The sequence below is a fragment of the Homo sapiens genome, chromosome 20 (genome assembly GCF_000001405.40).
Source record: "Homo sapiens chromosome 20, GRCh38.p14 Primary Assembly".
NCBI classification, from domain to species: domain Eukaryota; kingdom Metazoa; phylum Chordata; class Mammalia; order Primates; family Hominidae; genus Homo; species Homo sapiens.
In genome coordinates this window covers 25,995,591-26,009,384 of record NC_000020.11, presented here as the reverse complement: position 1 = coordinate 26,009,384, position 13,794 = coordinate 25,995,591, and the positions used below count along the sequence as shown (strand labels likewise).

At 43.7% G+C, this 13,794-nt stretch overlaps 1 annotated feature.

Annotated features, from left to right (window-relative positions):
* Positions 9,828-10,012: a silencer, noted in NCBI's record as "fragment chr20:25980009-25980193 (GRCh37/hg19 assembly coordinates)". NCBI's record gives its function as "represses an EF-1alpha promoter that drives an FKBP-Casp9 reporter gene in an ReSE screen in K562 erythroleukemia cells {active_cell/tissue: K562}" and the evidence as "EXISTENCE:reporter gene assay evidence [ECO:0000049][PMID:32094911]".

The window sequence follows — 13,794 nt, the reverse complement described above, 5'->3', positions numbered from 1 at the left end:
ACTTGAGGGATCTTTCCCGTAGCATTGATAGGACGGGTGTCTGAGAGATAACCCTCGAGCTTTGGTGGTGAGGAGCCATCAGTGTGGAAGGGTATTCCAAGCAGAGGCACAGTTACACTGAAGGCCCTGAAAAATCAGAGAGCACTTGGAGCATTCCAGAAACAGAAAGCAGCCTGGTGTGACTGAAGCTTAGCAAGTGAGTGGGAAATTAGTTTAGATTTAGGATGCAGACGTCGGCATTTTCCGATTCATGTGAGAAAATGATAGTGCTGAGATTACAGGCGTGAGCCACTGCTCCCAGCCCCAAACCAAGTTTTTATAGCAGCAAGAATAGATGCTCTGGTACGGTCAGCGTCTAAAGATTTTACAAACAATATCTCTTCTTCTAGTTTGCAGTCATTATTGAAATAACAAACATGTCCTATTGTCAGGCCTTACTCTCAGTAACTGATTTCATTGATCTGAATAGGAAACTTACTTGATTAATCAGCTACTCTTTGGTATTACCTGACATCTCATTAATGCATCTTTGAATTGAATTATTGCTCAATAGGAGTGATTGTGAAATAGTGGCAATGTATTACATCACTATTGAAGTTACCGTCTCTCATGTGAGTCCTGTGACAGTTTCAGCAAGTATAAAGCACTATGGGGTTTTACAATGATTTCTGTAATCTTTTCTTTTCTTTTTCTTTTTTTTTTTTTTTTTTTTTTTGAGACAGAGTTTTGCTGTGTTAGCCAGGCTGGAGTGCAGTGGCATGATCTCAGCTCACTGCAAGCTCCGTCTCCGGGACTCAAATGATTCTCCTGCCTCAGCCTCCCGAGTAGCTGGGATTACAGGTGTGTGCCACCACGCCTGGCTAACTTAGTATTTTTAGTAGAGACGGGGTTTCGCCATTTTGGCCAGACTGGTCTCAAACTCCCGACCTCAGGTGATGCGCCTGCCTCGGCCTCCCAAATTGCTGGGATTACAGGCGTGAGTCACCACGCCTGGCCTATTTCTGCAATTTTGTAAGGCAATTATTTCATCATAATTGGTTTGCTTATCCTTTTTTTTTTTTTTTTTTTTTTTTTGAGACCAAGTATTGCTCTATAGTCCAGGCTGGAGCATGGTGCTGCAATCTCGGCTCATTGCATCCTCCGCCTCTCAGGTTGAAGCGAGTCTCCTGCCTCAGCCTCCCGAGTACCTGGAATTACAGGTGCACACACCATGCCAGGCTAGTTTTTGTGTTTTTAGTAGAGACAAGATTTCACCATATTACCCAGGCTGGTCTCCAACTCCTGGGCTCACGTGATACACCCACCTCGGCCTCCCAAAGTGTTGGGATTACAGGTGTGAGCCACCTCCCCCCGCAGCTTGTCTTTCTTAAATAAGAAGTAACAGTGTCACAGTTCAAAATTCTATTTTAAACTTTTTAAATATTCTGTTTCTCGACTTTATCAGGATGTTTCTTTTATTGATGATCCACAAATCTTGATGATTTCATAGCCGTTTGTAAAAACAAACAAACAAAGACTATTATTCATAAGAAACAAGCTGTTTTGAGTTAAATAGGGTTTTCAATAAAACTGTAAGCTAGGCTGGGCGCGGTGGCTCAAGCATGTAATCCTAGCACTTTGGGAGGCTGAGGTGGGTGGATTGCCTGAACTCAGGATTTCAAGACCAGCCTGGGCAACAGGGTGAAACCCCGTCTTTACTAAAATACAAAAAATTAGCTGGGTGTGGGGGCATGTACCTGTAGTCCCTGCTACACGGGAGGCTGAGACAGGAGACTTGCTAGAACCCAGGAAGTGGAGGTTGCAGTGAGCCAAGATCATGCCACTGCATTCCAGCCTGGGCAACAGAGTGAGTCTCCATCTGTAAAAACAAAAACAAACAAACAAACAAACAAAAAAACAAAACCAGTTGGCCAGATATTCATTCATTCAGATGTAGTCAACACTTTTCATTTTCAACACTTAACACAATTAATGCTAGGTTGAATTACTTTCGTAATATAAACTATTTTACATAATTCCCAAAGCACTGAGGATCAATCATAAATACTATCCACAAGGCAGTCAATAGACACACAGAGACCACCTCTCATATAACTTTGGGATAGAGCATTCAATCAAAAAAAAAGTCTTCCAGGTATAGCCATCAATTTGCCATCATTTTGTAACACTGATCTTGCAAAGATTTTTTTTTTTTTTTTTTTTTTGAGGTGGAGGCTCACTCTGTCACCCAGGATGAAGGGCGGTGGCACGATCCACTCACTGCAACCTCTGCCTCCTGGGTTCAAGCGATTTTCCTGCTTCAGCCTCCCATGTAGCTGGGATTACAGGCAGGTGCCACCACTTCTGGGTAATTGTTTTGTATTTTTAGTTGACACAGGGTTTTACTATGTTGGCCAGGCTGGTCTTGAACTACTGAATTTCAGTGATCCACCTTCCTTGCCCTCCCAAAGTGCTGAGATTACAGGTGTGAGTCACCGTGCATGGCCTGATCTTGCATGGATTTTTTATCTTCCATAAAATGATTAATGCTGCCCATCATATTTGAGAGAAATTAAATACCAAGGAGTAAAATTTTGTGCAATAGGCCAGGCATGGTGGCTCATACCTGTAATCCCAGAACTTTGGGAGTCCGAGGCAGGCAGATCACTTGAGATCAGTAGTTCTAGACCAGCCTGGCCAACATGGTGAAACTCTGTCTCTACAAAAAATACAAAAATTATCTGAGCGTGGTAGTGTGTGCCAGTAATCCCAGCTACTTGGGAGACTGAGGCAGGAGAATCACTTGAACCCAGGAGGTGGAGGTTGCAGTGAGCAGAGATTGCACCACCGCACTCCAGCCTGGGTGACAGAGTGAGCCTCCCTCTCCGAAAAAAAAAAAAAAAATTGTGGAAGGCCACAAACCACTGCAACAACTATAATTCATTTTACCTTCAATAACCAATGTTCACCCTCTTAGGGGCAATATCACTCCCATTAAGAATGCGTGGCCAGGCACAGAGGCCCATGCCTGTAATTCCAGCACTTTGGGAAGCCAAGGGAGGCAGATCCGCTGAGGTCAGGAGTTCCAGACCAGCCTGGCCAACATGGTGAAACCCTGTCTCAACTAAAAACACAAAAATTAGCCAGGCATGGTGGCATGCATCTGTAGTCCCAACTACTCAGGAGGTTGAGGCAGGAGAATCACTTGAACCTGGGAGGTGGAGGTTGCATTGATCTGAGATTATGCCACTGCTCTCCATCCTAGGTGACAGAGTGAGACCCTGTCTGGAAAAAAAAAAAAAGAATGCTTCCAGCAAGGCTGAATAAATATACGAATTAGGCATGTGGCATGTGTGTTAGTATACATACAATGTATTTCCTAGTTCTGCCCACTAAGAGGGCCTAGAAGCAATGACACACCCATAGCAATGAGCACACGTGTCACCCCGATCTTGGCGATTTTGTTTTTGTTTGGTTTTTAAAAATAGAGATGGGGGTCTCACTGCGTTGCCCAAGCTTGTCTCAAACTGTTGGCCTCAAGGGATCCTCCTGCCTCAGCCTCCCAAAATGTTGAGATTACAGACCTGAGCCACCTCACCCAGCCCAAGATTTTGGTGCTTTGTAAATAATACTTTTCAATGAAAGAAACCAAGGATCTTTAATAAATGGTTTATTCCACGTCTGGGTCAGGGAAAATACCAGATGAATCAAAACACTTTATGGTGCCAGAAAGTTGGTAATTAGTCCCACACCCCAACCCCCTGATAAAGGCATGCTATAAATAGAACACAGGAGCCAACCTAAAGAAATGCCCAAGGCCAATTTTTTTTTTTTTCTTGATGCAGTTTCACTCTTGTCACCCAGGCTGGAATGCAGTGGTAGCTCACTGCAACCTCCACCTCTTGGGTTCAAGCGACTCTCCCACCTCAGCCTCCTGAGTAGGTGGAATTACAGGTGCCTGCCACCACACCCAGCTAATTTTTTGTAGAGACAGGGTTTCAGCAGGTTGGCCAGGCTGGTCTCAAACTCCTGACCTCAGGTGACCTCCATGCCTCTGCCTCCCAAAGTGCTAAGATTACAGGCATCAGCCATTGCGCCTGGCCTAAGTTTGTATTGTTTTCAGTATCACAACCACATACATGTTCAATTGCACACATACTATGTTCTCTACAAATGTGCAGTTTGGACCTGCCTCATCTTGGTACTCTACAACAAGAGCATTGCATTGTCACACATGTAGACAATGAATTGACTCAGAATCACAAATACTTGTACTGGGGACCTGTAGGGAGAAATCAAGCCCTAGGAAGAGTACCAGGTCATCATCTGGGAAAGGAAATATTAGGAGTATTTGGGGTTTGAATAGTACTGTATTGAATTCCAATTCATTTCAAAATATATTTCACAGATTATCACAAACCAGGAAATAAATTGTGTGTACTTTTCTTTGTTTTGTTTTGTTTGTTTGTTTGTTTGTTTGTTTAGAGAGAGTTTTACTCTTGTTGCCCAGGCTGTAGTGCAATGCCACGATCCTGGCTCACCTCAACCTCCACCTCCCCGAAACCTCTGCCTCCCAGGTTCAAGTGATTCTCTTGCCTCAGCCTCCCAAGTAGCTGGGATTACAGGCATGTGCCACCAAGCCTGGCTAATTTTGTATTTTTAGTAGAGATGGAGTTTCTCCATGGGTTTTTTTTTTTTTTTTTTGAGACAGATTCTCACTCTATTGCCCAGGCTGGAGTGCGGTGGTGAGAACTCAGCTCACTGCAACCTCTGCCTCCTGGGTTCAAGTGATTCTCCTGCCTCAGCCTCCCAAGTAGCTAGGATCACAGGTGCCTGCCACTGTGCCTGGCTAATTTTTGTATTTTTTAGTAGAGTTGGGGATTCGCCATCTTGGCCAGGCTGGTGTTGAATTCTTGACCTTGTGATCCACCTGCCTCAGCCTCCCAAAGTGCTGGGATTACAGGCGTGAGCCACCGAGCCTGACCAGTTTGGGTTTTTTGAGACAGTCTTACTCTGTCATCCAGGCTGGAGTGCAGTGGCATGATCTCGGCTCACTGCAACCTCTGCCTCCTGGATTCAGGTGATTCTCCTGCCTCAGCCTCCTGAGTAGCTGGGATTATAGGTGCATGCCACCAATCATGGCTAATGTTTTTGTATTCTTGGTAGAGATGGGGTTTCACTGGGTTGGCCAGGATGGCCTTGATCTCCTGACCTCGTGATCTGCCCACCTCGGTCTCTCAAAATGATAGAATTACAGGCATGAGCAAGCATGCCCAGTGAACTGTGACCATTTTGAAAGCCATGATTTATGGGAATAGCAGTTCTTCCTCTTTGTGTAAATAAACAGAGGCCACCAAAATAAGAACAAAGAGAGGCTTATGCATACAGAACTTGCTACAGAGTAAGGGTTCCATTTGTTTAAGTTGTCTATAGATTCTGGATATTATTAGGCCTTTGTTGGATACATCGTTTGTGAATATCTTCTCCCATTCTGTGGTTTGTTTACTCTGTTGATAGTTTGTCTTGTTGTGTTTACGCTTTTATTTTACTTTAATTTTTTTTTTTGAGGCAGTCTTGCTCTGTCACCCAGGCTGGAGTGCAGTGGTGCGATCTCGGCTCACTGCAACCTCTGCCTCCTAGGTTCAAGCAATTCTCCTGCCTCAGCCTCCTGAATAGCTGGGATTACAGGTGTGCACTACCACCACCTAATTTTTGTATTTTTATTAGAGACAGGGTTTCACCATGTTGGTCAGGCTGGTCTCAAACTCCTGACCTTGTGATCTGCCCAACCTGGCCTCCGAGCTTCTGGCTTAATTAGGTAACACTTGTCTATTTTTGTTTTTGCTGCAATTGCTTTTTTGGAATCTTAGCCAAAAATTATTTGCCAAGGCCGATGTTGAGAAGAGTGTTTCCTAGGTTGTCTTCCAGGATTTTTATAGTTTGGGGTCTTATATTTAAATCTTTAATCCATTTGGAGTTAATTTTTGTATATGGTGAAAGGTAGGGGGCTCAGACTCAGTCTTCTGCATGTGGGTAGCCAGTTATCCCAGAAACATTTGTTGAATAGGGAGTCCTTTCCTCATTGCTCACTTTTGTTGACTTTGTCAAAGATCACATGGTTGTAGGTGTGTTAATTTTTTTCTGGGTTTTCTAACCATCCCATTGGTCTATGTGTCTGTATTTGTACACTACTATGCTATTTTGGTTACTGTAGCCTAGTAGTATAATTTGAAGTGGCATATATGATGCCCATCAGCAGTGGATTGGATAACGAAAATGTGGTAATTATACACCATGGAATACTACATAGCCATAGAAAAAGAAACCATGTCCCTTGAAGCAACATGGATGCAGCTGGAGGCCATTATCCTAAATGAATTAATGCAGCATCAGGTAACCAAATACCCATGGTCTCACTTATAAGTGGGAGCTAAACATTGAGTACACATGGACACACAGATGGGATCAATAGACACTGGGGTCTGCTTGAGTGGGGAGGATGGCATGAGGCTATGGGTCAAAAAACTATTGGGTACTGTGGTTACTACCTGGGTGACAATATCATTTGTACACCAAACCCCAGTGACATGCAATTTACCCATGTAACAAGCCTGCACATTTATCCCTTAAACCTAAAAACAGAAAAAATTAAAAATAAATAAATAAATGAGGTATAAGTCTGATTGTTGAATGTTGTGAATGGTAACCAACAGAGCCATTGAAAACAGTGCGAGTGGTGGGGTCGGTGGCTCACACCGGTAATCCCAACACTTTTGGAGGCCGAGGTGGGTGGATCACAAGATCAGGAGTTTGAGACCAGCCTGGCCAAGATGGCGAAACCCCGCTTCTACTAAAAATACAAAAAATAGCTGGGCATGGTGTCTCATGCCTGTAATCCCAGCTACTCATGAGGCTGAGGCAGGTGAATCACTTGAAACTGGGAGGCAGAGGTTGCAGTGAGCTGAGATTGCACCACTGCACTCTAGCCTGGGCGACAGAGCAAGACTCTGTCTCAAAAAAAAAAAAAAAAAGAAGAAGAAGAAGAAAAGAAAAGAAAAAGAAAATAGTGAGAGCATCATATAAGGAAAGTGGTTCAGGCACTGTGGTAAGGGGTGAGTGTCAGCCAAGTCATCAGCTATCAGAACACGAAGCCATCAGGTAATATATCAAGTTGATATATTAAGAAAGAGGGGCCAGGCGCAGTGGCTCATGCCTGTAATCCCAGCACTTTGGGAGGCCAAGGCAGGCGGATCACGAGGTCAGGAGATCAAGACCATCCTGGCTAACACGGTGAAACCCCATCTCTACTAAAAATAAAAAAAAAATTAGCCAGGACTGGTGACGGGTGCCTGTAGTCCCAGCTGCTGGGGAGGCTGAGGCAGCAGAATGGAGTGAACCCGGGAGGTGGAGCTTGCGGTGAGCCAAGATCGTGCCACTGCACTCCAGCCTGAGTGACATAGCAAGACTCTGTCTCAGAAAAAAAAAAAAAAAAAAAAAAAACAGAAGGAGGAAGATCTATCTATTATATAACAGAGATAAGCACTCAGATATATGGATTATAAATAGTTTAGAAAATTTAAATATTTGATTATTCAGAAAGTAGACTTGGGAGTATTGGAGAAACAGGTTGGGGAGTAGACTGCATGGAAAGCTCTTTCTTAGTGTGGGATTTTCAATTATGCACATAGGTTTCTTACATAACATGGAAAATTCAATTAAGAAACAACATTGTGTTTTGGGGTCCCAAAAGTTCAGTGATTGATTAGAAGGACTCACAAAACTGAGTCAAGCTGTTATACTCACAGTTATAGTTTATTACAACAAAAGGATACAGATTAAAATCAGCAGCAGAAAAGGGTGCATAGGGCAGAGTCCAGGAGAAACCAAGCACAAGCTTCCAGTTGTCCTCTCCCAGTGGCATCATGTGAACAGTGCTTAATTCACCCAGCGATATGTGGCAGAAAGTACAGAAAATACTCCCCAACAAGAAGCTTACCTGAGCCTTGGGGTTGAGGGTTTTACTGGAGGTTGGTCACATGGACAAGAGCACCCATTTGGATGACCTTGGTTTCTCTGTCTCCACCCTTCCCAAGGTCAAGCTGACACTGCATGGTCCAAGGTCCCCACAATAAATCACATTGTTAACTCCCAGATAGGCAGGAGATTCCAAGGACCTAGAGGTTATTTCCCAGGAGCTGGGCTAGAGTCACACCATTCTTTGGAGTATGCCAGGTTTGGGCAATTCAGGCCTACTAACTTTCCTCGACTGCACACAAGTGATAGTGAGTATGTAGGAAATGAGTAGTCGCATATATTGCTGGTGAAATTACAGTGTTATATAACCCTTTGGAAAGAAATCAAGTGTGTAGAGCGTAAACATTATATTTAGTTTGATTTGCTTTTGTCTAAGACAGGGTCTCACTCTGTCACCCATGCTGGAGTGCAGTGGCATGATCACAACTCACTGCAGCCTCGACCACCTGGGCTCCAGCTATCTTCCAACCTCAGTCTCCTGAGAAGCTGAGAGCACAGGCACGTGCCACCACACCCAACTAATTTTTGTGTTTTTTGTACAGACAGGGTTTCACCATGATGCCCAGGCTTGTTTCAAGCTCCTGGGTTCAAACAATCCCCTACCTCAGCTCCCCATTGTGCTAGGATTACAGGAGTGAGCCACTGCACCCAATCTATATTTGTATATACATTAAATTGTATATGTTAGGCCAGGCGCGGTGGCTCACATGTGTAATTCCAGCACGTTGGGAGGGCAAAGTCAGTGGACAACTTGAGGTCAGGAGTTCGAGAGCAGCCTGGCCAACATGGTGAAAACCCATCTCCACTAAAAAGACAAAGATAGCTGGACTTGGTGGCAGATGCCTGTATTCCCAGCTACTCAGGAGGCTGAGGCAGGAGAATCACTTGAATCCAAGATGTGGAGGTTGCAGTGAGCTGAAATCACACCACTGCACTCCAACCTGGGCGACAGAGCAAAACTCCACCTCAAAAAACAACCAAAAATTGGGGTATGTTATTGTATGTATGTGTATATATTAAGTTGTATATACACATATTAAATATACATACATATATTACATTTTATACACATACATTTGTTTCCTCATGCAATTTGTTTCAGCAGAAGTAAAAATTAATAAAGGTACAAGTAAAAGAATATTTACAGAAGCACTATTTTTGGTGGCAAAAGTACTTTAGCATTTTAAATGCTCATATAGTGGAAGATACTTTAACTCTTACAAATAATGAGTTAGCTTTTTATCTACTATAAAGATATCCTAATATCTTTATACCTAAAGTGATATCAATGGCAAATTGTTATATAAAAAAGGAGAATGTTTTATAATTAAAGAAAAAAAGAAAGAAACGTTATATAGTAGCCCTCCCTTATCTGCAGGAGATGTGTTCTAAGACCCGCAGTGGATGCCTGCACCTTGGATAGCATTGACCCAATTGCTGTCAATCAGAACACATTTCTGTTTATGATTTCCATTCACAAATTTAATGCCTTTTTCATCTTTTCACACATATGGCTGTATTTTTAGAGCTTGGGGTACAACAAACAAGACTAACAGAAATTTCTTTTTCATTCTTACATTTTCACCGCTAGAGGATTTGTTCCTACCATCGATCCTAGCAACCTGAGCACATGATTTCTTTTTCTTTCTATTTTTTTCTTTCTTTCTTTCTTTCTTTCTTTCTTTCTTTCTTTCTTTCTTTCTTTCTTTCTTTCTTTCTTTCTTTCTTGGTTGCTTGCTTGTTTGCTTTCGTGCTTCCTTTCTCTGTCTTTTTCTCTCTTTCTTCCTTTTTTCTTTGTTTCTTTCATCTTTCTTTTTTTCTTTCTTTCTTTATCTTTATTTATTTATTTATTTATTGAGATGGAATCTCACTCTGTCGCCCAGGTGGGAGTGAAGTAATGCAATTTCGGCTCCCTGTAACTTTCATCTCCCAGGTTCAAGTGATTCTCATGCCTCCACCTCCCAAGTAGCTTGGAATACAAGCGTCCACCACGCCCAGATAATTTTTGTGTTTTTTGTAGTGATGGGGTTTCACTATGTTGGTCAGGGTAGTCTTGAACTCCTGACCTCAAATGATCCACCCGGTTCAGTCTCCCAAAGTGCTGGAATTACATGCGTGAGCCACCACACCTGAGCTGTATATGCCATTGTATGATTGCAAATAATTATATGAATCTTGGAGAACATCATGGAAAGATGTTCATCATCTTGTTAACTGGTTATTTCAAGAGTGGAGCTGGAAGGGGAATACTGCCTTTCCTGTGTATTTATTTGTAATGTTTCATTTTCATTATGAACATGTATTATTTTAATATGTTTAAATATTAATAAACACAGGCAAAAATATGTAATTTTAATTCAAGCTGAAATCGTCAAGGCAATCATACATAACAGATGGAGCAAATAAAACATTTAAAATCCCTGAGTGAAAAGGAGGGGAGGCTGGGCATGGTGGCTCACGCCTATAATCCCAGCACTTTGGGAGGCCGAAACAGGAAGATCACTTGGGGTCAGAAGTTTGAGACTGCCTTGGCCAACTGAGACCCCTGGACTCGATTGGAATTGGTCCCACAAACTTTTTTTTTTGAGGGAGTCTCACACTGTCACCCAGGGTGGAGTGCAATGGGGCAATCTCGGCTCACTACAACCTCTGCTCCTGGGTTCAAGTGATTCTCCTGCCTCAGCCTCCCTAGTAGCTCGGACTTCAGGTGTCCGCCACAACACCTGGCTAATTTTTTTCTATTTTTAGTAGGGACAGGGTTTCACAATGTTGGTCAGGCTGGTCTCAAACTCCTGACTTCAGGTGATCCACCAGCCTCTCAAAGTGCTAGGATTACAGGTGGGAGCCATCACACCCCACCAATCCCACAAATTTAGGCATTATGATAATCGGAGCCACCATGCCCCACCAATTACACATATTTAGGCATTATGATATATTGTTACTTTTAGAATCACTTGGTTTTTATATTGTGTTTTTTCCCTTCCATTTGTTTGTTTATTTATTTATTTATTTATTGAGACAGAGACTCGCTGTGTCACCCAGCCTGGAGTGCAGTGGCGTGATCTTGGCTCACTGCAACCTCCACCTCCCGGCACTCCATCTCCACCACACTGGCAACTAACATGCCTCCTCAGGCCCTCTCAGGGTCTAGAGAGGGCGTCTGGAACAGACTGGGAAACTCCAGTAGGCAAAGTAAGGTGCCAGAAATAAAGACACCACCTGAAACATTCTCCATGTTCCCTCCACCCACTCCTCTCCCACCACTCTTCCATCTGGCTCCAACTCTGCCCTCTCCACAAGAGCCTCAGATTGAAATGTTGCAAGGAAGACAAAGATTCTCAAAGTCACAGGCTTGGGAATCTGAGCTATAAAGAAAAATGAGCCTCTGCTCCCCCAACTCCCCCATACTCCCCTGGGCACTGCTGCCCTACATGCACCCCCTCCTCCATAATTTGAACTGTCCTCCCAGAAGCTGGAGGGAGACTGCCCGCCTGTCAGGAAAGAAAGGACCAGCATGCGGCAAATGCCTGGGCTACATAGGAGCAGACGGCGAGATTAGCGCAGGGATTTAAGAAACAAGTGGCTCTCAGACCAAAGAAGACTTGCCCGAGATGGCACACTAAGCATTCATAGGGGTGTGCGCTGGACAGGAGCTTGCCAGTTACCCAAAGAATTGTCTGAGAAAGGCTCTGATCTGGCCCGAAAGGCCCTTGGTTCCCACGGCAACTCCTCAGCGTCTGGCAGTAATAGGCTTCTGTGCCCAGACTTTCTGGGTCTGGAAGTCCCCCTCTGCCAGCCTCTTGCAGCCCAGAGGCACCTCCCATTGGCGCCTGATGGGTTAAGGAAGCTGTTCTTCTAGCTGTGACAGATCAAGCCTGAGGACCTCTCGTGTGTCTTTCTTAGTTGTTTCTTCCCGCCCACCTGCCACTCAAAGCCACAACCCACTTGCATGCCCCCGAGTGGACCCCTTAAAGCGACCATCTAGATCTGAATTGCGCTGAGGGAATGGTCAGCTTCATTCCCATTAGATGGCTTGGCCCAAAGGAACTAGCGATCGCCCAGACAAAAATGTCTTCCTAAAAGCTGGATGTGTCTGTGGTCTCTAAGAGGCAAAACCAAACCCAAAAGGAAAAGCCAACCCACCCACCCCCACCATAAAACAAAAACCAAAACCGCCGACAACCCATCTTTCACATGAGGAGTCCGTGAGAAGGGCCTCTCCAGCCAGGATCAGGTAAGGGAATCTGTGCCCTTGGCCGGACCCAGAACACCCAGTGGCAAGGAACTGACTGTCACACTCTGACCCCATAGAATTTCCACCATTGTCACACAGGTCAGGATGTGTCAGCCTGAGAGATGACACCACAAATCTGGCCTTCACAGATTGATTCCACACTCTCTCACTGATTCCACACACATCCCGCCACTGACACCAGATTCCCTCATCACTGACCCTACATACCCACAAGAATTGATTCCATGGATCTCATCACTATCCAAAAGACCACCCATCACTAATCTACAGACCCTCATCTCTCACCCCAGGGACCCCACAGATTCCCCATCCCTGATTCCAGGATCTATAGAACCTCATCTCTTACCCCCACAGACCTATTTATAAGAGGATACGTTCATGGAATACCATGTTGACCATTTTACACATCCATTGCGTGTGTGTGTGTGTGTGCTGATTAATGGACTTAGGTAAACTTTAGCATTTTGGTAGCCAATGCAGTTTTTCAATGCCTTTTCTTTTTCTTTCTTTTTCTTGTACAACTTTAAAGACCTTACTCCAGTAAGTGTGATTTGCAATTTATCAATGCCTATCTCTTATTGGGTCCTTGTCATGCATATTTGTTATTAATCATAATTCACAATTCTTACAACTCAGAGACACCAGAGTCTCACATAAGAAGAATGGCTGTGGGTTTTTATTATTGTTATTTTTTTGGTTTCTGTAGATTATAAAAGTCATTCATTTGTATCAAGTCAGTAAGTGTATATTTTGTTTTCTTAAAAAATGTAATTAAAAATATTTTTGCTGGAATGCAGTGGTATAATCATGGCCACTGCAGCCTCAACCTCCTGGGCTCCAGTGATCCTCCCACCTCAGCCTACCTACTGGCTGAGACCACAGGCATGCAACAATATACCCACCTAATTAAACATTTTTTTTTTTTTTTTGTAGAGATGGGCTTCTCACTATGTTGCAGAGATTGGACTTGAATTCCTGGGCTCAACTGATCCTCCAACCTTGGCCTCCCAAAATGTTGCAGTTAGAGGTGTGAGCCACTGCACTCAGCTGATAAGATCTTAAAAAGAGTAAAATACTTTGGGAAGTAATGTAAAATTTCCACTGAGACGATGCATCAGAAATTAAAGTAGAATAAAATGGTCCTAGGGCATCTGAAACAATGGGAACTAAGTCTTGAGCCAGGTGTGGTGGCTCATGCCTGCAATCCCAGCACTTTGGGAGGCCAAGATGGTGGACTCATTTGAGGTCAGAAGTTCGAGACCAGCCTAGCCAACACGGTGAACCACAATCCCTACTGGGAATACAAAAATTAGCTGGGAGGTTGCAGTGAGCTGAAATCGTGCCACTGCACTCCAGCCTGGGCAACAGAAGGAGACTGTCTCAAAACATAAAATAAATAAAATAAAAATAAAGAAGAAGAAGAAACAATATCTTGATTTCATCATCAAGTGTAAAAATGTGGACTCTGGAGGCACACAGGTACTCTTTTTCTCTGAAGTTTTATTAAGAAATATTAACATATC